The 27,017-nt window shown below is 33.7% G+C and overlaps 1 protein-coding gene and 1 long non-coding RNA gene across 2 annotated transcripts in view, besides 1 other annotated feature; one reads left to right on the top strand and one right to left on the bottom strand.

The window, feature by feature from the left end:
• ADGRB3 (adhesion G protein-coupled receptor B3) overlaps window positions 1–27,017 on the bottom strand; it is a 754,225-nt gene that overhangs the window by 655,155 nt on the left and 72,053 nt on the right. The window lies entirely within an intron of this gene.
• Window positions 7,105–13,806, top strand: LOC124901492 (uncharacterized). Its single transcript, XR_007059925.1, has 2 exons — window positions 7,105–7,307; window positions 13,499–13,806. It is a non-coding gene; the product is annotated as an uncharacterized LOC124901492 (long non-coding RNA).
• Window positions 14,281–14,575: a silencer, noted in NCBI's record as "tiled region #12937; HepG2 Repressive non-DNase unmatched - State 24:Quies, and K562 Repressive DNase matched - State 8:EnhW". NCBI's record gives its function as "represses a minimal TATA promoter and a strong SV40 promoter by Sharpr-MPRA in HepG2 and K562 cells {active_cell/tissue: HepG2 | K562}" and the evidence as "EXISTENCE:reporter gene assay evidence [ECO:0000049][PMID:27701403]".

Here is a 27,017-nt window from a genome sequence, read left to right as displayed (position 1 = left end):
AATGTTAAAAAAATAAAATGTTCAAATTCACCCTACCTGGGAGAGGCAAGGGAGATGTCCTTGCTCCTTTCCACCTGTATTCTACATTCCTCTAACATATGGCATAATTCATTGTTCCTTCTTTCTCATGTCTCATGAAGGAAACAAAACCCTACAGTTTTATTTATAGTATGAAAATATTTCTATAAGTTTTGTTTTGTCTTCAAATGTATGTTTACATATTTATGATACCAAATTTTTCCATAAAGGATTTGAAAAAAAATACCATAGTTGCTGAACAACATTCTCTTGTACCTTAAAATTAACATTCTTTGTTCTTTCAATATATTTTATTATTTTTAAACTTTTTTAGGCATACGTAGCAGGTATATACATTTCTGGGGTCTATGAGATGTTTTGATACAGGCATGCAATGTGAAATAATGCACATCGTGGCGAATGGGGTATTCATCCCCTCAAGCATTTAACCTTTGAGTTACAAAAAAATCCAACATTACATTCTTGTCATGTACATTCTTACACGTACATTACATTTTACATGTACATTCTTACGTTCTTTAAGTTATTGTAAAATATAAAATTATGTTTTTATTGACTATAGTCACCCTATTGTGCTATCAACTAGTAGGTCTTATTCACTCTTTCTATTTTTGTACCCACTAACCATCCTCACTGCCCTCCAAACCCCACTAGCCTTCCCAGCTCTGGTATCCATCATTCTACTCTCTGTAAGGTACATGTGCAGATTTGTTACATGGTTATATTGTCTAATGTTGAGGTTTGGGCTTCTAGTGAACGCATTTCCCCAGGAATGAATATAGTACTCAAAAGGTAGGTTTTCAATGCTTTCCTCCCTTCTTCCCCCTTTTTGAAGTCCCCACTGTCTATTATTTCCATCTTTATTTATATCCATTGTTTAGCTCACACTGTATAAGTGAGAACATGCAGTGTTTTATTTACTTTTCTGAATTATTTTACTTAGGATAATGGCCTCAGGCTGCATCTACGTTGCAAAGGACACGATGTCATTCTTTTTTATGACTGCATAGTATTCCTATATATATAGGAATATATATGGAATATATACATATTCCTATATATATATATTTTATATATATATAGATATAATTTTCTTTATCCAATCCACCACTGATATGCACTTAGGCTGTAATAAATATACAAATACAGATGTCTTTTTGGGAAACTGACTTCCTTTCCTTTAGGTAGATACACAGTAGTGGAATTGCCAGGTGGAACAGTAGTTCTATTTTTAGTTCTCTGAGAAATCTCCATACTGTAAAATCAAAATTATTATAAAGATGGTGGTAAATAGTGGTTCTCAGAGTTTGGTTCCCAAGTCAACAGCATCATCATGAGCTGGATGACATTAGAAATAAAAAATCTTGGTCCAGCTCCAATCTTACTGGATCAGAAACTCTGGAGTGGGGTCCAGGGACCTTTAACAAGCCCTCTAGGAAAATTTGATGCTGCTCAAAGTTTGAGAACTATGAATAATTGTTCTTAATCCTGACTATACATTAAAAGTACCCGAGTGCCTTTAGATAATATACCTGCGTAAGACTCACCACAGAATATGGAAATCCCAATATCATGATAGGAGTCTGCAGGTTTCACAAAGATTCTGCTACACAGTGAGGGTGGAGTCTCACGGTCTCCTTCACCTTGCAGAACGATCTCAGGCACTTTAAACTGACTATTGTTCCACCTCAGCTGAATGCTCTGCAAAGTCATCCCAAACTTCCGTTTTCCAATTCTTCATACCATTTCTCAGGCTTCCTGTTTCTCACCATATCTTCAATACCATACCATAATTTTAACAATGGCCAAATGATATGAGGGAATGGGTTTGTATCTTCTTTATTTCTGAATTTCAAATTGTATAGCTTTTATAACCAAAACAATTTTCCTTTATAAATAGTTCAGTGTGTGTTGTTCCCCTCTATGTTTCTATGTGTTCTCACCATTTAACTTCCATATAGGTAAGTGAGAACATGTGGTATTTGGAGGGTGGGAGAAGGGAGAGGATCAAGAAAAATAGCTAATGGGTATGAGGCTTAATACTTGGGCAATGAAATAATCTCTAACAAACTCCCATGCCACAGTTTATCTATGTAATAAACTTGCACTTGTACCCCTTAACTTAAAAGTTAAAAATATAGTTCAATATTTAAAATATTTTTAAGTAGTTACACTGAACAAAATTTTAAAGACTAGTAAATTGTTTAAAATGACCAATTATTTAATAAGGAGTTATTTCATTATTATAAGATGTAATAATAAAATTAATTCATGCATTATGTTCATGAGTAGATAAGTTAAATATACTCATGCAGGTACTACTGCACATTTCTTTACCCTTTTAAAAAATAATAGAAAAAACAACCTCAAACCTTAAGACATATGTATATATGTGCATAAATGTATATCAATGTATATATTTAAATGTTTAGATTTCTTAATTTATTCAAGCCCATTACTTTACAAAACAATTATACATTTTTGTACAGTAACAATATGATTCACATGTCTATAAATCACTAATATCTAAATATATCATTTCTTTCTTATCCTTGGAGTGAAATATAATCTTACACTAAAACAGTGACTAAGATTATATGATTTATTATTTTATTATGAGTAAAAATATTTTGGTTTAGGCATATGTCATTGTCTGTTTTAAACTATGTTTGTGACTAATGCAAAAAGCAGAAGTATAAAACAGGAGCTTGACCATTAATGATACATCATATTATTAAAAAGTGAAAAAAACATATTTATTTGAAGTATATCATATTTGAAAACATTTATATTCTAAATGTCAAACTTTTAAATAAAACCATCAGCATTCTGGATCATATTCTAAAATTATATTTTGAAACTACGGGCTTTTTTGTAACTTTTTATGTACTCATTTTGACATTTGGAAATTCAGCTTGTTATGTATTCGTTTCTGTTACTTTATTAACTTACAATGTATTTTTTTTGTAAATGAATTGAACATAAATAATTTAAATCAATACTTTTTGGAAAAAAAATGTTTACAATATATAATTGACCTGTATTAAATCCGTAACACGAGGATTAAGATATCTATAGGTAAACATTCTTCATGGTAAAATAATTAGATATAGAATTATTTACCAAATAGTAAGTTATATATGTCCTATTATCATTATTATTCTTCAATTTCTTTAACCTATAATATAGTTGAAAGAAAGAACTTATATATCTTTTGCATTTCTTTCCTATATTTTCTCAAACCTACTCAAACACATTAGACTTGCTTGTTGCTTGGCTGCAGTCCTTATTTCTTTTTGTTTTCTCCCCAAATAAGCTTTCTTTCACTTTCTGAATAATTAAGTTCTTTTCCTCCATTTCTGAATGTAACCCTGAAAGCCAGTGTTTGATATCCAAGCAGGCATCAGTGCTAGAGAGCAGCGCACTTTCTCAATCTGTAGATTAACGTCTGAAATAAAAGCTAACTACAGAGTTTTGGCTAATTGAAAACTGGGATACTCATGCATGAATGAAAGCTACATATAATTTAAAAGTCTCATTTAAACCATTAGTTTTAGTGTTTTCCCTGACTACATCTCTTTATAACTGAGTTGTTGAAAATTATGGAATTGACTCTTGAGTTTTACCGTCTTTGGTTTCCTTTTATTCTGCTGTAACTGCAAGAAGAATGAGCCTAGCAACGACCAAAAAGCAAGAAGTAACATGGGGAAAATGAAAAAATACTCTATAATTCACAACTCTTTAATAGTTAAGAGTCAATTGCATATGAATTTATCCGTGTGTATCATTTCAATATTTATGTGCCCATATTTTCTCATTCTTTCTTCTGGCTCCACAGTGCCTGAGTCATCAACTTTATTAGATGTTTCCTGGATTTGTGTCATAATTCCATCTTAAAATGCAAATTTCTGAAGGAATGAGGTTTCATGGTTTTTAGATTCTGTATAGCACTGAGAATATTAATAAATATTATACATACATAAAGTGTTATTCCCCTTATTGGATTTATTTTGTTTTCCCTCTTACGATGGTTCATCAACCTCTTATGATGGTTCTAGAAAACTGAAAGTACTTATATGAGGTCACATAATTGTTTATGGATATAAATCCACTAAAATTTAAATATTAATTTACTGTACATTTAACTAAATATAAGAATTTAAGTATTCATCTGATTAAGTTTTGAACAGATTTCTATGTGTACTGGAAATATAAAAATGAGTAAGACCTTTATCCTATTTTCCAACATTTTTCTATTTAATTATGGAGACCAGCAAGTAAGCAGATTGAATAAAATACAGCCTTATTTCCAAAACACTATTTTTTTCAAGCATCCTTTTCCACCAGATTATAAGCTTCTCAAAGGCAAAGCTAGTTTCTTATTCATCTTTGTATCTCCAGAGCTCATAAGAGTACTTTGCCAGTTTATAACTTGGCCGAAGAGATTTTTGGTGTCCAGAAGTAGGATCTACAGTGTAAGAATATAGGAAAAAAATGTGTCTTTGTAAATGGGGAATCAATAAAGCATAGAGAAAGCCATTATCTGACTATGCTTCCCTCAGCACAGCACTGATATAAGTGTTCTGAAAAGTGTCACCATAATAGCAACAGTAATTGCAACAACCACCCAGCAATAATCGAAATTTTGGCCCTGAATCTGTAAATAGCCTGGGAAAGAGATTCTTGGGGATTCTTATAGGACCCAAAAGTGGCTTAGCGCCCTTAATTGCCTGCCTTAGAGCACCAATATACCATGTAAAATTCAGGCTATGGATCTATGGGGCAAGAGAAATCTCTCCGGATCTGATCCATACTGATCATTCTGACTCGTCATGCTCTGACTTTACAGCCACAGTATTCATCAAGCTCTCCAGCAAGAGATGTAGCACTCTTTCTGTTTATCTTGATGATGGATCAGATGGCATATCATTTCTGTACTATAGTCAAGGTACATTTAGAAAGAATTTTATGTCCAGGATTGCACTTTCCAAAAAGAACTCATATTTTCCTAACTACTTATCCAGGGGTATTTCTGGTATCGACTTCTAGATTTAGCATTGGTAACATCAGGAAAGCTACCAAGGAAAGCTTTCACAGTAGCTCTACCATCTAAGCACACAGCCCAGAGAAGGGCAACAGGGCAGAGGGATGAGAACTCCTGTGAGATGACTTATATCTCCGTTTTAATTATGCTTTTTATTAACCTGATAAGAATACAAAAATGTTATCAATTTGCTTACCAATTTAATGTTTGTATTATTCTATCTTATGTCCTCTAATTTCTTTGCCTATGTTAGAGTGGCTTATCTTAGATTTTAACAAGTGGAAAAAGGAAAGGTATATGTATGCTTCTAAATAAAAAAAAAATCACATTGAAGAATTTTGGCTTAAGTAAGAACTTCTGATAAATATACAGTCTGAATGGGCAATACATTCTGACATCATATTTTCCCTATTAAAATCAAGGCCACATAATACAGTTTATTGGCAAGGTTCCGGGATCCTGGAGCCATGATGTTTTGTTGAACTCTGGTTCTGCCTTTCCTTGCTGATTGTTTGACTTTAGGCAATTACTTAACCTTTGTGTTTATTGATTTCTTCATCTGCAAAAAAGGGCTAATGATAGTCCCTACATCATAAGGATGTTATCAGGATGAATGAAATAAAGATATCTATATCTACATCTGTATATATATCTATACGCACACATGCCTACATATTACGTGTGTGTGTTTGTGTGTGTGTAATTTAGAAGAAAGCCTAGAAAACAGTGCCAGAAAAATGTTTATATGTGTGCACGAGTGTTTTTAAAAATAGTTTTTAAAGGAAATTAGTCTCTGTGTGGTCTGGAAACTCCAGTAGCTGTGGAAGAGATTCCTTCGCTATTTCAAAAAGTGCTTTTTCTTTTTTTTTTGTTAGGCTGGGAGATAAGAGTTTTGTGGTTTTCATAGACTGCCAAGAACTTAATTTGCATACATAAATCTAGATATGGAAAGATGTATTGCAACATTGTCAAATCTCATCTGGACATGTTACTGGAAAGTATAGCTTTGGGAGCTACCAAACATCACCAAATATGTTATCAAGCTGCAAAAGAAATCAAATGCACTTTAAAATGTCCCTTTAGTGTACTCTGTCAATATTTTTTTTCAAAGAACATAGCCTCTGTTCTAGGAATTTCATTAATGTGTTATACTATCAAAATGTCAATTTGAGTGAAACTTACAAGTAAAAAGCCATTCTCATAGAAGAGTCAGAAAATCAAATCAAGTACAATTCAATAAAAATGCCTAGATAAAATAAAACAGAAGAAATTTATATTAAGCTCCTGAGAAATAAATGCTTGATTATTTTATTTTCAGAAACTATTAAAAGTTCAACAGTCATCTCTGGTGAAGGAGTTCAATTGGACTCCAAAGAATTGTTTTATGTCAGCTGATTGAGGATGAGAACGATTATATCACCCAGAATGACTTGCTGTCAACTGGTACACTTCACTGAATTCACACAAATAATTCCCAACATCAGTTTTCTAGTTTTTCATATGAAATTTGGATTTTCAAGAAAGGCCTATAGAATATAAAGCCCCAAATTTCACATGGAGGATAAATCTTAAAAGCCCTTTAATATTAAATTGAGAAAGACTCAGTGAAAAAAATTATAAAACTGTAGTGATGCCTCACAATGATGAACTTTTTTTTAGTCTAAAGAGTGACTTTTCAGGAAAAATAGGAGGTTAAATTACAATGTACCAGCATGGATTTCTTGGTATACATCTTTTAGTTTTTCTCCAAACTTTGCAGAACAGTATTGACATAATTTGGAAAGGATGCTTAGAAACAATCAACCAAGAAAAAGCTATTATTGATCACATTTTGGTGCAATTTTTCTGATAATCTTCATATAACCTTAATTACATTCAATGACATATGTTTCTTTAACCTGAAGAATTCCTAATTTCTAGTCTTAAATTATTTTTCCAAAAGTTTTCAACTATATCATTACCACAACAAACAATATGCCTAGAGAAGAATTCTGAGTTTATATTAGATTTTTGTTGCACAGATACAGCTTTAAGGCCTTTGTTTTCACAATTTCAACAGAATAAATCAATACTTTGAAAACTTTGCTCCACAAAGCTACTAACACTGAATCCTTCTGTTGTAGCATCATTGAATGACAAAGCTGAAAAGGAACTGGATATCAGGGATCACAAACCCAAATGCTTACAGGGGCTACCACACGGATATTGGACAAGAGGACTTAAGGTAACCTGGGAGAGCATTTCTGATTAAAGGTATTAAATTTCAAAAAGCCATGTGAAGTTGACTGAGCAAATCTTCAGGGAGCTTCAAGAGATCTTAGTTTCCAACATTGATTTTATCCAATGAGGAAACTGCAGCCCCCAGAGTGTGCAGCATCCAAAAGCACATAATATATCACAGTTGGGGTTAGAATATAGTGACTTCCATTCCAGTGCCCTGTCTGCTTTATAATTTTCTTCTTCCAAAAGCAATGTTTACTGTTGTTCTCCAACTGTGTTTTAACAAACATAAAATACAGCAAGTCTAACAAAAAGACATGTAGGGCCAGAATCTTACAAAACAGGATGTCAGATCTCAAAAATTCTATAGCTCTAGGCTCTTAATCTTGTCATAAATATTTTGTATCCTTTATTTTCCATATAGGGAAATAACCAAGCCCTCCAAATAAAGGATTTTCTGTGCCCTGTCCACATGGTCCATCTAAATGCAGCTCAGCAGTCCCAATTCCTAGGAGTCCAGATTGAGCTTTAAGACAGATGGCAGCAAACCATGCAGAACATTTCTGCAATGACACAGCTCATTTGTTTTTCTCTGCATAGAAATGACCTCTATCTTTCTGTTCATGGAGTAATGGATAACATATCAGACCAGGAATCAGGAGATCAATCCCAAATTTGGTTTTGCAACTGACTGTGTGCACATCTTGAGAAAGGCACAACTTTTCTAATTTTAATTTCTTCCTCTCTGAATTGAGAAGGCAGAGAAGATAATCTCTAAAGTTGCTTTTTATATCCCTGGTATAAGTGAGTTTTTACACAGGTTTATATACTTTTAGATGAAAAAATGTCATGTGATCAGAAAAAAGATAATGGAAGAAAATTTTCCAGCATACAATATTTGATAGATAATCTTCACTAGAACTAAATTTAAAGTAAACAGTAACCCTCCAACACTTACTTAACTGCATGAACTGGTGTCTATCTAGAAATTATATGGGGAATTTTATAGCCAATAATATTATTAGCTTCCTCATTGCCAAATCCATAGACCTCTTTAATAGCCTTTATGTTCTGCAAAATTGGACACTGTTGTTCACCTCCACCCTTCCTCTATTTTAATCTTGACTACCAAGACAACAATCCCTTGGGAGCTCTCTGTATTTCCTTAATTAATTAAATTTAATTTCAGGCTCTTGGCTCCTTTTCCTAGGCCCTCCTTTAAACATCTGTCAATGGTCCCCCTTGTTCACTCTGTGATCTGTGCTAGTGTTGACTCATCCACCCTCAGAATCACAACCACCACTTGCAGTTGCTAATAATGCTCAAATCTTGATTTTCACTCTAACCTCTCTCCTGAGATAAGATCAGTTTTTTATGCTCCCTAAATATTGTACAGGCAACTAAATACCACCTGCTCCCAAAACAGTTCTTCAGTGTACTCAGCAACCTCCATGTTACTCAGGCTAAAACCATGGCATCATTCTCAAGTTCTTGTTTTCCTCACCTCTGACATCAAACTGGTCATCAATACCTTTTGATTTGTGGTGGAAATGTTGTATGAATACATCTCATTCTGGGTAATATCATCTTCTGGCTTATTTCATATCTTTGGCATGTGGACTACTGCACTAGCCTCCTAATTAGCTTCTATCATTCTAGTTTTCTTCTATCAAACCAATTTTCAGGGTTATTGCCTGGATTCTCTTTCTACAACAAAAATCTAATCATGTGATTCTCACTGCCTTAAACATTTAGGGATCTATATTATATGTGGGATAAATCCTAAAATTCTCAATATATCCTCTAACATCCTTCAAATTCTAGACTGAAGCCCCACATCTGGCTCCCATTGTTCCTCCAACAAACCAGGGGATGAGCACAGGTTTATTCTTTAAGAAACATGTGATGCATGCTCACGCTACAAAATGACTTTGAATGTCCCATCTCTTCCGCCTAGACTATACCAATGCTTTTCTAATCTGTGAAGCCTTCTCATACCCCCAAATGTGGTTGGTGGTGCAATTCTATGACTCCCAGTAGCATTCCCACAGGTCTAATAAATATACATATATTTGCGGAAAAAAACAGACCAGATTATAAACATTAAGACAGTTCTAGAAATTCTGGTGTGTACGCTAGTTGCAAACATGCCTTTGTTATAAACTTTGTAACAATATTTCTGTCAAATGCACAGACCATGTCTTGCTCTCATTTATATTCCCAGTGCCCCAACACACCGCTTTAAGCATTTGCTTGATGAATTAAGTAAATGGTTCTTGGATTTTCTTTTTCCAATGATAAAAGTTAAATCAGTAGAAAAGAATGGGAAGGTCTCTTTATAAGGAATCTTCAGGAAAAGTGAGTTTTTACCAAAAAAAAAAAAAATATGGGTTTTTGTGCTTAGACTGTCAGAATCACATCTCTAAAAATCAAAGAAACATAGTCAGTAGTGAACTCTTTTATTTTTTACATAGGAATTCAGATTAAAATTTTATTTTTCTTTTTACTTCTAATACAAATTTTGTGGGCTTTTCTTAAATTATAAAAGATGCTGCTAGTCTCCAAGAAGCAGAAATGTTTGTTTTCACCATAAGCAATAATTTATTAAATTAGAACTTTCTTCCTAGGACAATAAACTATTGAAATATAGAAACTGACCTGCAATTGACCTATATGTTGGCCATTCCCAAAAGTCAGTAACAGTCCATAGAATCTCTTATTTAGTTTCATATTCTCCATGTTACAGTTAAAGTCTGTTTCTTGTTAGGAATTTGGCATCTGTGCAATATGGCTAAAAGGACTTCTAATGTGATAACGTGACCTCTACATGACCCTGGAAAGTATTTATCAGGACTTCAACATTTCTGGACCAGTACATAACAAGCACCATATAAAATTTAAAAATCAATGGTATAAAAACAATCTTTCCACTGAGGTTGTTTTTTTTTTTAATATTTCATGTATACTTTTATTAGAGACCCTGCGGTCATGCTAAAATTTATTTACATTTGTCTTAACATCTAGGTAAATGTTTTTCAACTGTAACACTGTTGAGCTGTATATTTCTTTGATGTGGAAGGTTGTCCTGTGCATTGTAAAATAATTAGCAACATCCTTAAATCTCACTAGATGATAACAGATGTCAGTACAAACCTCTTAGATACTGACACTCAAATATGTTATCAAGCATTGACAAATGTCCGCTGGGGGCAAAATAATCTCCAGTTGAGAACCACCGTTTGTAGTGGCGACCAACTTGATTTATACTTCTTTATATAGTCTCCACATAGTACAATGTGAGGCAATAGGTATTGAAAGAATGTCTTTAGAAAAAAATAGTAAATACTAATATTTGAAACTATACGTCGTATTCTATCTCAGCAATTCTACAAATATGTCTTAGCCCCAAGGTATATCCAATCCATAGTGCTGATAGATGATAAATTATCCTCACCCCTGGGAAAACCTACAGAACCAACAGCATTTGACTTCCTTCTCTATATGTAATTAACACAATTTTTTATGTGAGGCAGAAAAAATTTATAACCACTCATCTTCAGGGATTATAGACTCTTAGTGCAAGTGGGAAATAAGATTGCCCTCTGTGAGCTAACCTATCGAACTGTCGCTTACCAGGTAAGACAGAAGTCATAAAAAGTTATCTTAAAGAGGTCAATTGTCTCCCACATTGGCTAACCTTGGCTGTGATTTCACTGAATCCATTAACAGCTGAAGATAGAAGATACCAGTTAAAGAAGAACCACCTGACCTGAGAAAAATAGATAAAAGAGAAAAGCATAGAGGAAAATGTAGGGTCCAGCTGATCTAAGAACTGACTCCATGTGGCACATTATCTTTTACAAGTCACATCTTCATATTATGTTTTCATAAATAAATTACATGAAAAGCTAAATTATCAGAGGTTTGCTTAGCTTGGCAGAAAATCAGAACAAACTGAAGTCACTATATGACAGAATGTTTACTATCTTTAAACATTGTGATATGAATATAGCCATGTCCAACAGGCAAGTTCACCAAAAGAATGCCTGTAAAAAAACCCTACAGTGTCCCTCCAGAGTGTACCATGACTTTGTGGGCTTTTTGCTGAATGTATTTTTCTCCTTGGAACCTCTCATTTTTTTGCCTTTTTTGTTTGTTTGTTTGTTTGCTTGTTCTCTTCATCTGATTTTAAAATGAACATTACCCTATATAATAATTAAATATAGACAAAATGAAGTCACTGTCTAAAATATCCTTTAGGAAAAAAAGAGTTGATTTCTATTTGGGTCTTCACACATGTCTCATGTTACGGGACAGTCTGTAATCACATTATTTAAAAAAAATAAAGTGCTTTTTAGGAACACATATCTAATTGAAAGGTACTGAAGAAATGATGGTTTTGGAAAAAGAAGTAACCTGATAGATTCAGTTAAAAAAAAAAAAGAAAAAGAAATAAATTTAACACAAATTGACTCAATATCCAAGGTGGTATATAACTTCATCTTTTAAGCGTCAGTGAAGTTTTGTGGCAGCCACAAATATATACCTCAAGATCAATTTTTAAATTATTATTATACTTTAAAGTCCTGGGATACATGTGCAGAAAGTGCAGGTTTGTCACATAGACGTACACGTGCCATGGTAGTTTGCTGCACCCATCAACCCATCATCTACATTAGGTATTTCTCCTAATGCTATCTCTCCCCTACACAACCCCCGCCCCGCAACAGGCCCCAGTGTGTGATGTTCCCCTCCCTGTGTCCATGTGTTCTCATTGTTCAATTCCCACTTATGAGTGAGAACATGTGGTGTACCATCATTCTCAGCAAACTAACATAGGAACAGAAAACCAAACACCACAAGATCAATTTTTAAAAATATTTACTTTGTGGAAATTCATATGGGTGGCTTGGAATAAAATCATACATAGATTTCAAAAGTGCTAAATTTTTAATGATTTAGTAGGAAATGATTATATTGTAAATCTGTGTTAGATAACTAAAAAAACATGAATAATGTAGACACAACTGTAGAATATATATATAAGAAGAATGAAGAAAATTGTTTCATAAAATGCAAATGAAAAAATGATTAATGAAAACTTATTGTGTAGTTGCATTAATAAATTAAATATCATACATTAAAAAGATGCTTAATCCACATTTCTAAACATTTATTTTTATTGTCTTGTTCTCCCTTCTCTTATTTAAAAATCTTTATATTGGGAAAGAAGAATTTACTGAATACTAGGGATTGCCACCTTGTTGGGCATATATACCCATTTAAAGTAGAGCTTTCCTTTCCTTTCCTCTGCTAAGATAATTTAGGGGAGACCAGAGCGCTTTATTATAAATACATACATCTATAGCTTATTGAAGTTGAGATGATAATTTATATATATATATATATATATATATATATTTATTATACTTTAAGTTCTAGGGTACATGTGCACAACGTGCAGGTTTGTTACATATATATACATGTGCCACGTTGGTGTGCTGCACCCATTAACTCGTCATTTACATTAGGTATATCTCCTAATACTATCCCTCCCCCCTGCCCCCACCCCACAACAGGCCCCAGTGTGTGATGTTCCCCTTCCTGTGTCCAAGTGTTCTCTTTGTTCAATTCCCACCTATGAGTGAGAACACGCAGTGTTTGGTTTTTTGTCCTTGTGATAGTTTGCTGAGAATAATGGTTTCCAGCTTCATCCATGTCCCTACAAAGGACGTGAACTCATCCTTTTTTATGGCTGCATAGTATTCCATGGTGTATATGTGCCACATTTTCTTAATCCAGTCTATCATTGTTGGACATTTGGGTTGGTTCCAAGTCTTTGCTATTGTGAGTGGTGCCACAATAAACATATGTGTGCGTGTATCTTTACAGCAGCATGATTTATATTCCTTTCGGTATATACCCAGTAATGGAATGGCTGGGTCAAATGGTATTTCTAGTTCTAGATCCCTGAGGAATCGCCACACTGTCTTCCACAATGGTTGAACTAGTTTACAGTCCCACCAACAGTGTAAATGTGTTCCTATTTCTCCACATCCATTTAGGTGTATATCTCGCCCATTTTGAAGAACAAAAAACTTTCAGAAAGCTTAAACATTGTATTAAAATGATTATCTGTGACAAGAAGACAACAATCATTATAATCATCTAACCTGGTATTTTATTGCTCTGCAGACTCTGAAAGGTAACAGCAGAAACAACTTCCTTCCACCCTGTGTGTGTCACTGTCTACAGCAGCATGGAGAAGTCAGGCGAGTGTTTCCCATAAATTCAGTGGGATTCTTATGGTAACCGTGGGAAGAAGAGAGTGCAGGACTAAAATAAAACACATATGGTCATTTCTTTTCTTTTTTCATTTTTTCTTGATTTGAGATATTGTACTTTATTCTATGCAAAGAATGCACTTGGTTTTATAAATGGTAATAGATTCAGTATTCTAACACTCATTTCTCACCTTGAATAAAGAGACTGCATTAACATAATCAATTAATCTCACTTGTATCTTTGATAAGTCATACTTCCCTTCCAGAGGTTAGAGTTTCTGATACAAATTTCACTGAGTACTTGCCTCTTCAACATTTTTATTGAACTCGAATCAGGTAAAATTAAAAAGCCCAAGGTTAGTCATAAGAAAAAAATACAATTATGAAAAAGAAATGCATAGCCTGAGGGGTGTTCTTGCAGATCAGGGAGGTGTGCCATGGATTTATACCAGGCATATGAATTTAGGGCTGTCTTAGCAGTTGATGCTAAAGAAGCCACCTCTTTCTACTATGGATACATTCTAGTTTAGCAGTTGAAGAACCAGAAAAATCAACTTCCAGAAAAACTACTCCATTTCATCATATGCAAGCTAGGTCTCTACTCTCTTCCCCAAAGCAGGTCCATAGGCTTAAACATATCAATTCATAGTTGATTCCTTGATTTTGCACTTTCCACGGCTGTAGGATTCATATCAAATATGTTCATATGCACAAAGAAGTTTAATGAAATTTCAGTAAACGCAAGTGGAACAATGGTAATTACCTAAATGAGTTGTTGAAACATGAAAGCCCTCCTTTTCATCACTACCAGTGATAATGCACCCAAAGCTGTCAATCAGTCTCTCTCTCTTCTTTCTGACCCTTATCACTCCCCCATGCCCAACCTCAGCATATACATACTCACACATAGAATTTCTATGTGAAGCAATGGGTGTTTCTAATTTCCTTTTTTTCACTTTATCTTGGTATCATTTGCTCTTTGAATTGATGCCAAATCATCAATGAAATGTTGAAAGACCACTAAAAAAAAGGTTTTTGTGATTCCTATAGATTCAAAAGAAAAAAAAAGAAAATAGGAGAAGAGAAATTGTATCTGTAAGAGCTTTTCTAATTTTTGGAACTGGTTTCTAATTTCTTCACATCTAAACATTGAGCGCTTAGCCAAAACACAACTAGGGATCACAAAGAGTATCTTTCCAATGTGTAACTGTTAATTAAACAGAGGCATCAGAGTTCTCTTATAGAATTTATAATATGACTTAAATTAATTTATCTTACGCTCTCACTCTCATTGTATGCTGTTCGTTTTGAGGTGTAATTATTTGTGCCCCTATCTACATTGTCCAATATGGTGGTCACTAACTACAAAATTTTAACTAACTTTATATTAATTAAAATTCAATAAAGTTAACATTCAATTATTCGGTCACACTAGTCATACCTAAAATGTTCCATAGCCATATAGGCCTAGTGGCTATTGCACTGGACAGCATAGATACAGAATACAGTATAGATACAGATCATCACAGAAGGTTCTATTGAAGCACTAATAACATCAGGGACACGGACTTAAAAACCAACTAAGGCAGGAATAGAAAAAGAGTTTATATTTACCCTGTTGGCATAATAAACATATATTTCCAACTCATTCTTCATCCTTTCACCAATTACTTTATATAACTTATAAGAGTACCAACTCTCTACAAAACATTCTATTAAGTGCTAGTACATAATTAGGACACAATACACCACACATTTTAGTTCAGAGGCTAGCAAACTCTAAAGAACCAGATGGTAAATATTTTAGGCTTTGAGGACCATTTGTCCCTGTCATCACTACTCAACTCTGCTGTTACAGCGCAAAGGCAGCCTTAAACAATGTGTCATCAAATAGACGTGGCTGTGTTCCCATAAGACACTATTTACAAAACAGGCAGTGGGCCAGGTTTTGCCTGCAGACCATAATTTGCCAACCTCTTGCTCTAGCTGATAGATTAGCACTTACACAGTAGGTAAAATAACTCCGTATAAGTACAAGGTATACTGTGATAAATGCTGTACGTGCAAAGTCTTATGGAAACACAGGGTTGAGAGACAGATTTTGACTGAGTACTGAGGAAGATTTCCCAGAAGAGATGAGACATAAAATGGGTCTTGAGAAATGAATATGACCTCAATAAGTAAATATGGAGAGAAGGGAATTTCAGCAAGAGGGAACAACTTGAGAAAATACAAAAGGCGTAACAACATAAGACTTGTTCAATGAGTCAGTGGCAGATCACTCTAAGTGGAGCTGACAGAGGCACTAGAACATATGTTAGTAGGAGGCAGTCATGTTTTGTAAAACTATCCTAGGATGTTTTTTCTTGACATCAACAAAAAGCGGTAATTCTCTAAGTGGTCCATGGCTTAGCTATATCATCTCTGGTATTTGTTAAAATTTAGATTCCTGGGCTCCAATCTGCAAAAATTCTAATTCAGTAGATCTGTCGTAGGGCTTAAAAGTCTCCATTTTGAGCAAACATTGTTATGACTCTGAACACACGAACATTTGTGAACCACTCACATCCATGGTTTTTTAAAACATCCCTAAACACCCTTCCTTAATAATTTAAGAGAAAGTAAAGAGTTTGAACATTTAAAATAGGCAAAACATTTAAGAAAGGCTGAACAATGTTAGAATGATTTTGAGCCCATTTTGAAACTTTATCCCTTCTTCAAGAAAAGGTTTTAGAAGTTTTGTATTTACTGTTTAATATGATTTCAAGAAGTTCCTCCCCATTCTATCCTATTTCAACTCAGTGAATAGATTGTGTTCATTATATCGTTTCAACATTGAGATTTTATCCATCAGTTATTCTTTCTACCAGGCCTCAGCTTTCTGAAATAAAATATACAATTTCTTTTCATTGTTCTCACTCACATCCTTGCCCTCACATTTTCTAGAACAAATCATCTGTCCACTGAAATTTCTCCATATTTTTTTCTTGAGACACATTAACAAAGCTTACATAACATGGTAGATAGAAAATAATGTTTTATTAATTTATAAAATTTAAGAAATATTTAGTTTAATTTTTATATCTTTATTAAATATGGCTAGTGATATGAAGAACACTTGAATCAATAGAAGTACATGAAATTCTTAAAAAAAAATGGTGCTTCCAGCGCTTTCCCAGTACAGGAGCTCTCTTGGAGCCAACTGCCTTATAAGTAGAATCACTTTTCCCTAAATGCATCACCTTGCACTTATCTACACAAAATCTCATGTTTATTTTACCCATTTAGGAAGACTTTCTATAAAATAACTTTCATTTTATTTTCCTCATTTTGGACACCTACAACATTTTTAGATTAAAATTTGTTATGATGTAACATTCTAAAACATATCGTTTTTAATGCCAAGGCTTTTATTGAATATAATTTGAATTGGGGACATTAGCATCTATAACTGTGGCTCTAAATTTGGAATTATTATAAAATGCTATGAATTATATATAGATATATTGCTATAAGAACCTTTATAAGAACTGTGCATGTTTAACACTTAAAACTGTTGATACGGCAGAAGTAAAATTTTCCCTTAAAAACTGGCCTTTACTGAAAGGTTGTTCAAGGCAAATTGAAGCAATTTATTGATAAATATGTTATAAAATGTAGTGGTACTTTTTGAAAGAGAGGGCCATTTCAACAAAACATTCTTGAGTAGAACTTGAAAACTGCCGAATATCCCATGTAGAAAGATAAGCTCCTACGTGAGAAATGAAGAAAGCCGGCTTTATCACAATGTCTCTTCATGGAAAATAAAGAACATGAGAATATTAATAAATCCTATAATAAAGAAAAAATATTTGAATCTTAAATTTACAGGCTCATAGAAACTAAATCATTTTCAGAAGTCAGAGCTTATCTCTAGGGAACAGGAGGATAAAACATTTTGCCTGGATGCAGACTCTCCACAAATCACCTAAATATGTCAGCAAGCTTCCTGGTAAAAGAATTAAGAGCAATGATGAACTCAAAAAAGTTTAACAATTAGCTCTTTCAGGGCAGAAGGTAAGAAGTGGGCAAGGGAAGAAGGAGAGAGCTCTTATTTGCAGTGTTTGTCAATATCTATGGTGTAAATACTCCTACCACTGGTGATTTCAAGCTACTACTGTGATATTCCTGAAAGCAAAGTTGGAAAGAAATGCTAGCTCTGTGGGTTGCTCTGAGTTGCTCCCCTACAACTCTAGGAAAAAAAAAAAAAATGAGCTGTGATGCAAATTTTAGCGGGTCCAAATAAATATGGAAAATACAGTCTATATTACAGAACCAGTAAAACATGGGCCCACAGTTGAAGAGAACTTTAATATCTTCAAGGTTCTTTCTTGATCATGGACATGCTAAGAAGTTGCAAGAATCAGGCAGGATAATAACAATTCAATCTTTCCAATTAGATTGCACTTATAAATATTGTCCAAATAAATAAATAAATCTCCACATAAAATGAACACATGAACACCTACCCTATATTTTAATTAAAGCAGCTGAATGGATCAACTCCAGGTATTCCCAGACATTTACATGAAAAAAGCAATGTGGTCACTGAAGAAACTACAGATTTTATTTAAATTAGAAAAGCTTGGATTTGAATGCCCAGTTTACCAATTATGATTTGTATAACCTTGAATAACTCATTTGACATAGCTGAAGTTCAATTTCTTCTTTATTTAATCTATATAATGCCAGTCTTGATAAGACAATGTAAGTCAAATATTTGGCATTTTTTTGACGTTTAGACAGGTTAAATCTCAAGGGTGGTCAGCATTCCCCCGCCACCAGATGCATACACCCCAATACACCTACTCCAAGAAAGAGTGTAGTGGTTCCTGCAATTTGTGGGCTCAATAGTCATTTCTGCTCTTATTTTGGGGCACATTGTTATGTAAAATTGTTTCCTTTTTTATTATACCATTGTGAGTTTAATTCTTTTCTGTTAATTGTAGCCGATGGAACCCTAATAGACACAAGGGAAAATAAAATGGCTGATTTATAAAGTTAGGATAAGAATTAGCATGTATGTAAAGCAACTAATGGAATGATTTAAACAAAGTATATTAATTGCCCATACATTTACTAAACAATTTCTTTCCCTCCTTTCAAAACTTTGAAATATGGACAAATAACAATCTTTGAAATATCATGGAAGATTAGTGGGAGAATGAGCTAGGCAATGAGAAAAACCTTGGCTCTAGTATGGGTACATCACTTATTGGTACACATGACTATGGCAAAGTCATGCCCTTCTCCATTCCTCTTGCTCATTTATTGAAAAGGGTCTAATATTGCTGAGTGAAGAGTATTATTGTGAGGAGCAAACAGAAAATATAAGTGAAAAGATATCACAGATACTTGGTATTTGATATAACCTCAGTAAACCTTCTTCACAAGCCCCTATAATGAGACAGACAGAAGCAGGATAAAAATAAAGTGCAGACGTGCGTTACACAATCTGGAGGGCTACTACCGAGAGGCTTATAGAAACTATTATACTCCTCAGCGATCCAGTCAAGTCTCTGATGCAATTTCAATATATAGAACCATAATGGTTATTAATATTAATGTACTTTCCAATTATTTTCTTATCAGACTATAGTTTTGCTGTACTACCTGCCCTCTGCCATGAAAGAAATAGTTTCAAAGTCTTTTGTGTTTTGTCATGAATCAAAGCTATTTTTAATGCAAAGCTGTAATGATGATAAATATAACTACTATGCACTGTAGTGTTCTTTGCTAGTACAATTGATGTGCACTAACTCATTTGATTCTCCTCACAACCTCAAATGTGACATGGATTATAGTAACCTTTTTTTACAGATGAGATCACTTAATCTCATCTGTAACTTAATCTCAGAGAACTTAATTCCCAAGGGTTACAAAGCTCAAAGTGTCAGAAAAGAAAAGGAATTCCAGATGTAATTCCAAAGTCTATATATTTTTAAGCATTGACTATATTAAACTAGCAGATATTTTAAGATAAAAATCAAATGCCTTTTATATTTCCCAGTCTGTTGAAAATGAATCACTGTTATTCCTGAGATATACCATATATCAAATTATAAAATTTATTCTCTCACAAGTTTACCATTTTACAAACCCTTCAGTATTTTTCCCTTTATCTTCATTACATATACTTTTTAGATTGAAAACAACTTTCAACACAATGTTTCAATACACCAATGTTTTGTGGTACACAGAATATTCAATCAAGCTGTGTTTTTTCTACCTCCTCAATATTTTTCATCATTATTTTCCAGATCGGCTATTAGGCAAAATAAATAGATGAGCCTAGCTGTGGTTAGTGCACACCTGCACATCAGCCATCCCACTGTCACCATATGGTGACAAAAAAAAATTTGACTAATTAAAAATCTCCTTATTGTTTTGGATATGGTCTCTTTGATATGTTTTTGTTTTTTGGAACTAAAATGTTGCTTAGGTTGTCAGACTACCCTGATGAAAGCTCAACAAGTTTTTAAAATAATATATAAGTAGTGATTTCTTTTGAAATTCAAAAAGCTATCAGAGATTCAAGTCTGAAGTACAAATTAATACCACAAAGGCATGCAAGTATTTTATAAAAGTTTTCAAGCAATTAACAGCTTACATTTTATAGTTAAAAAAATGAGTACAAAGTGCTTGGATTGTATGTTGCCAAAAAATACTCTTTTAGAACATCAACTATTTACTGTCCTTCTCATGAATAAAGTTATTCCATACTAATCCTTTTCTATAAAATGCCATATATAATTTTAATGCATAATATATAATGTATAAACAATTATTTTAATCCAAAGATTGTTATAATTTAAATTTGATAATAAATCTGTAAGATCTATATAATGATTATATAAAATTCTTTCATAACTATACATATAAATAGATAAATTATCATGGGATAATAAATATTAATTTCAAATTCATAGATGTAAAACTAAAATTGTAGCTTGGGTTTAAAGATAGAGAGAGTTGTGAGTAAATGAAAGGAGAGGAGTTATACTTCGCTACTGTTGGAGTGTTCAGTCTAAAGAAAAGATACTAGATGGGAGGTTACAATGTAGGGGCAAAAAGAGGGCAATCTATTAACAAGAAAGGTACCACTGGAAAAATAACATGAGAAAGGGAAGTGTAATTAAAGTTGGAAAAGCAAATAAAAATGTTAGATAGAGTTATGAAAGTTCCAGTTGATTCAGAAAGCAATGTATAGTCAGAAAGGGAAAGAGTGGCAGACTGAGAAGCAAAGATGGAGGCAGAAATCAAGTTCTAGTGGACAGAATGGTTCCAATGCTCAGTCTGGGAATGATTTTGTGACCATATAAACTATGCCTAAGAATTAAGAAGCATCAACTCCAGGAAATCAGAAAAAAATGGAAGTTGGAATCGTCCAGATATGAAGCATTTTCAATGAGAGCAAGTAAACAAATGGCAGATGCTTTGATTATTTGATTCAGAAGAACATTATCTGAATAATTTGTTCACAAAAATTGGAAATCATGGAAAAGTGCCTAATCCATTGATCTCTCAGCCATTTTATTTCCATCATGGTGTCATTGTGTTATTGTTGATGACACCATATGGTATCCCTAATTAGATCATAAACCTAAGTTTTATCTGAAAGAAAAGGCTGAGAAGTAAAAAAATCTGCTGATTCAAAGTATAACCTTCAGCTATTTCAGAACAAGGCAGCATTAAATATTCTGCTGTATAAATAAAAAATTGCTGTCAATATTTGAATGTCAAAGAGGCATTTAAACACATCTACTAAATTGACCAAAATCTATAAAGTTCCAAAATGAATTTATAAAAAAAATTATTTTATTAATTAGTAAAATTATCAGTATCTAATAAGGTTTATTTTTAAGAAAGCAAAACTTTGAACTCTGAAAACTAAAGCTGTCACACTACTTTCAAGTAAGCAAGAAGTATCCTTAACTACTAAACAGTGAGTATTCCCAACAACAGTGATAAAAATTGAAAGTGTTTATTATCTAAGTAAACAGGGAAAGCAAAATCCATTCAACTGGTCTCAACATCCATGATCATAATTTACCAAACCCCTCTCTCATATTTTTCCCTCTGTTTTTCTTTGTCTCTCTCCTATGTCTCCCATTTATTAGTCCTTCCTCCTATATTTCTACATTTTTTTCTGTCCCTTTTTTCACAAAACATCTTTTCATACCCTCTGACTTTACTCATACATTATTTCTCCTTCTGATTTCTGAAAAATGTAATGTAGTGTTAGAATAATATAGATTTCTAGTGATTTTGACAAGGTAGCAATAAAACACGCTAGAGGCAAAAATTCACATTTGCATTCTAGTGTTAGAAGCAAAACTATTAAAATGCAAAAAAGAGTTTAAAATGAATTTGAAATAGTAGCTACTGAATGCCTGTGGTGTCGATCAAGACCAAAATTGCTAATATAGCTGTGCCCTTTGCCTTTTTTTCAGTCACCAAAAATTGCCGCCTCTTTATTTATGAAAGGAATTTTATCTCTGCTGAACTCAGATAAGTTGCAAAATGATGTTATACGCATAAATTAAGCCTCTGTCCAACTCCTGTTTCATAAAAATTTTAGTGCACTTTGAAATTCAATAAATTTATTAATAATATTTTGCCCTCAGTCATTATTTTTGGAGATTTAATTCTTACTTTTTAAAAATATTTACCCTGGAGTTATCTTTTGTTTCCATAGCCTAATATTTCAAGGCAAGAACAGACAGAATCCTTAAGATACATTCCCATTAAACCTATGCCTTCATAATGAAGTACATTCTGCTAAAAGTAACACCTCCCAGTCTTACCTCATTAGGTAAGATATTGTCACTGACATAGAGCTTAGGTATGTTGATAAATTTTCATGCTAATTATGATTATCTTGCTAAGGAGTAAGAAACATGTTTATTTGAGTAATGTGATGACTGTGCAGATATAAACTGAGTGATGATTGAAGCCATGAGTATGAATGAATCAATCTTATCTATACAGAATGAAAGAGAAATGGACCATCAAGCATGCTTTTGAAGGGATGGGCTAACAGCAGACCCAGCAGTCAAGTCAACCTCAGTTTTGCTGAAGTTAAAATGTAATTAGCTTTGTTGGGCTAGCTGATTCTTCAGCCAAAAACCAACAAAGAAAAACAAAACAAAACACGGATGTTGGCAGAGGACCATTTATGCAGAAAGTCAAGGTAGGGACAATTTCCAAAGGCATACTAGAAAGCAAACCTAGCTCCTATTTCATTTTGAATTAAGACTTCAGAGAACTGCATATAAATGTTTTTTTCTGGCATTTTCATAATTCTCAACATTTGCTAAGTTCGTAAATTCTGTTTGTTTTCTTATGAATTAGCCATAATCACTTGTGCAAAATAGATATTGTTTTTGAAAACTTCTTTGTAAAAATAGAGATTGGAAATCAGTTTTCCAGCATTCTGGAAGGAATAGGAATTCAAGACAATTTTATAATAACTGTAAAAGAGAGAAGAGAAAAATCAAGCAGGTCACGCTCTTGGTAGGAGAAAAGAAATAAGGTCTTGGCTTATGAATCCGAGATCTGGAAAGATAAAGATAGCATCAATTGCCCTCGTTCCATGAGGATGCAGAGAACTGGCAGGGAGAGAGCTGGCCTGGGTAGAAAAACAAAGAATGTACTGATACATAATGGAGACTTGCTGGGGTTAATTTCACAGTAGAGTTTGAAGGGTGAAAAGGGATCAAGGGAACTAGAAAGTTTTTCCCTTTTAAAGGGAACATTTCCCCACCAAAGTCTTTTGATTATTTCAAGAAATGGGAGGAAAGAAGGAATAAAAGGGGTCCCAGAAAGAAAACTTCCGTGGGAGTCAAGAACACAGGGAGATTTAAAACTGTGGACTACACACCTCTAGGAGTTCAATTCCCGTAAAGATGCCAGCTGAACCTAAGGCAAAGAAATGATGAGAAACACTGGGCTAATAGGAATCCCCAAATCTAAGGCTCTGAAATCAGGGTTGGAGCCAGGGTGACCTGCTAATCATCAGTAGTTTCTACAAAGGAATCCCTTTTAGGAAGGCCAGAGTAGAGATATACACTGCAGAGGCCAGGCTGGTGCATTGGTACTGATTCCAGTTCATTCCCTCAAGGTCATTGTGTCAGGAGGAGAGAAGGGTCTGTCTTAAACTAGAAATATTATGAAAATAGTTTAGATGTAGGAAACAGAAGCCGACTTCTTTAAACACTCAGCAAAAGCACATCTGCAGCCAGGAGAGAGACCAGATAAACCCAAATAACAGATGGCATTTGTCATTAAGAAATGCCAATGTCAATACAAAAAAATTAGTAATAAAGGCAGGAGCAGAAGAGTGAGAACTACCCAAAATAAGAGCTGCAGCAGAAGAGGTGGGAGCCTGGTGAGCCGGAGGGAAGGAAAACAGAAACCCACAGCACCAGAGTTAGAGTGGAAGTAAGTAATAACATTCAGAGAACCAGATAAAAAAAGGGCTTACAGGGAATGATTCTTTTGTTAAGATCTCAGGTTAAAAGTTATATTCAGAACACTTTTCTACAAAAGCATTATCCATCCTCCCCACTTGCCAGCCTCTGTAGCCCCCTGATGGGGAGAAGTTAAGAGCATGAGCTCTGGAGCTGGACCACCTAGGTGCACATTTGCTGTCCACAGACTAGCTCCAGGACCTCAGATTACTCCAGTGCCCAGTAAGTGCTCAATATGTGTTAACATGTGTCAGCTATTACCATTATTTTAAAGTAAGATTTAAAGAAAAAGGGGAGAGAAGAGCAGTAAGGAATGCCACAGGCAAGGGCTAAGAGGGGCAGCCAAAAATGTAGTGGTTTTCAGCTTCTCAAACACTGAAGCACGTAATTATTTCACCAAGAGAGAAATACATCTACTAGAAGTTGTTCTTCAAGAGAAATATGATATTTAGGTTATTTCTATAAACAGAAACGTCCTTTTGCATACGTAGTTTGACATAAATAATGTATTCTGGTTTAATATTTTAATTTATGAGCTATGTCCTTGATGGAAATGATATTCCTTCCAGAGAAAAAAATGACACTATTTGAAAAAAATAGTTGCTTTGTTCTCTCAGTATAGCCATTCACATATTCAATCACATGGACAAGCTCCACACCTCCAGCTGAAATGTTGAGGCACAGTTTAAACACTGAAAGTTTCTGAAGCTTGAGAAAACTAATAAGAAAAGCCCCCTGATTCCTCTGGCAAATTCATTAGTGGAAAAACCACTTAGTATTCAAGTTACCTATTGTTATGTAAAATTATTTTCTTAAATCTGATGCATTTTTGTGAGGGATGAAAACATCATGTCATTTAAGTATTATAATTTTTGCAAAGTTATATTAATTTAAAATAGTGTGATAGAGCTTAATACACATTTTACCTCTTGTAAAATGCATTAGAATATGATTAGTATGCAGCACTCCATCTCAACCGGAAAAGAAAGAAATCAGTGTGACCAATGGAAAAGCTATTCGCTATTAAATAGCTGAAATAGCAGCAGGTCTAAAGTATCTGCATCTCATTTTGGATTTAATTATTGCAATAACATCTCATTTGCTTCAAGGTATTACAATTATCTTCTGTTTTAAATTGAAAGGTATTTTAGAATGAATGCAGTTAATGCAGTAAAAGGTTCAAAATGTCCAGAGCATTGAGCTTTAAAGTAGAACAACCCGCATTTTAAACAAATCCTTACTAAAAGACTGCATGAGAAATGCATTTCCTTTCATCAAAATCCCAGTGATTGTGCCTAGTGAGATATAATGATTTTTTTTCTGATTTCAATGTTATTAAGTTAAAAAAAAAGTGACATTAGGTACAGATTGGTAATAGGTGTCGACATTAATGAAAATCAAAACAAAAGCTCATTTTCAGAATTTCCTTAGATACTATTTGCAAGTATGAAATATTCACTTAATTTTCAGTAAAACTATTTTAAAAATGAAATCAAAGGAAGCTTTAAATCTGACATGGATCAACAGTAAGATATTTTCTTCTTAATTAGCTACTCTTGAAATAATTCAAAACATTTTTAAACAATATTTAGCACAGACGTCAGTGGTTAGGAACTTTTAAATGTTAGATCTATTTAATTGGACGTCTTCGGTTTTGTTTTTAAAAAATCTAACCACGTGACATGTTTCAAACTTCTGTTAATTTTACAGATTTTATGTATCTTTGAACTGGGCCCTTTAGGAAATTTCACTGGAGAATGTCATTTTTCTTAGGTAAGGATTACTCGAGGACAGGGAATAGAAATGCTTTCAAAGAAGGCTAAGTCAAGGCCAATTTAGCCACTGGGCACAGTGGGAGGCACAGGGTCCAGGACCCCAGATACATTTTGAGGTCTTTAGAAATGCTTTAATTTCTTGTGAAATCAAAAGAAGAAAATGTTCTGGACATTTTGAACCTTTTGCTTCACTAAAAAGTTGAACATAATATAGCTTGGGTTATATCTCTCTTTATACTAATGTCACTACAATATAATTTTATTATTATTATTTTTATTGGAAGCAAGAAACCACAAAGTCAAAATTGCCTCTGGCCAAGGAATGTATGGGTCAGCCCTGGCTCAAATACAAAAAGTCTGTTACCTGAAAATTTCATGGACCCTAAGTGTACAAATTGAAATTCTGCCTCAGAATAAGTGGAAATTCTCCAGATAGTCTTTGTCTTTTTTGCTCTTGGTTAATCGTCAAGCTTGCTGGGGTGCTTGTCTGTGTCTCTCTGTGACTTTACTTTCTTGTGTCTCTGCTTAGCCATCCTCTTGCACAGGAACTTTGCCCCTGAGGCACTGACTTTCCCGTTCAGTTCTACAAAGCTAATGGACTTAGTCTAATTGTCCTTCCTTGTGTTAGTGCTGTACCTATGCCTTCCCTCTTGAGTCTCTGAGCAGAGACTGGTTTTCTAATAAAGGAAAAGTAGGGGGAATGATAATAACTAATTTCTTAACAGTTCTTACACTACTGGAGTTCTTTCTAAAATAATTCACTCAATTTTATCCATCAATTTACTTCATATTGTGATTACTGTGAATTGATGAACTTATTTTAATAAGAACAAAGATTATTTCTCAATAATTTATAAGTATAATTATTCAATTAATCTCACAAATACAGAAAACTGTATTTTAATCTTTAGCCCATTTGATTGGATTATGTCAATTATGTTAAATGTAAGCAACTAATACATAGGTAAAAATAAACTCATTTTTTCATTGGCTATAATTTTATACTAATAAATGGCATATATTGGGAATATTTTCCCTTCCAAATACACACACAAACACAGATAGACACAAATGGTTTTACCTCACTAGAACAGGACATATTGCCGAAAAGGAGTTTCTTAAGTACCTGGATGAATCCAGATGT

This window comes from Homo sapiens, chromosome 6, assembly GCF_000001405.40.
Source record: "Homo sapiens chromosome 6, GRCh38.p14 Primary Assembly".
NCBI classification, from domain to species: Eukaryota; Metazoa; Chordata; class Mammalia; order Primates; family Hominidae; genus Homo; species Homo sapiens.
The sequence above is the reverse complement of the archived record's forward strand: the minus strand, read 5'-3'. Positions and strand labels throughout refer to the sequence as shown.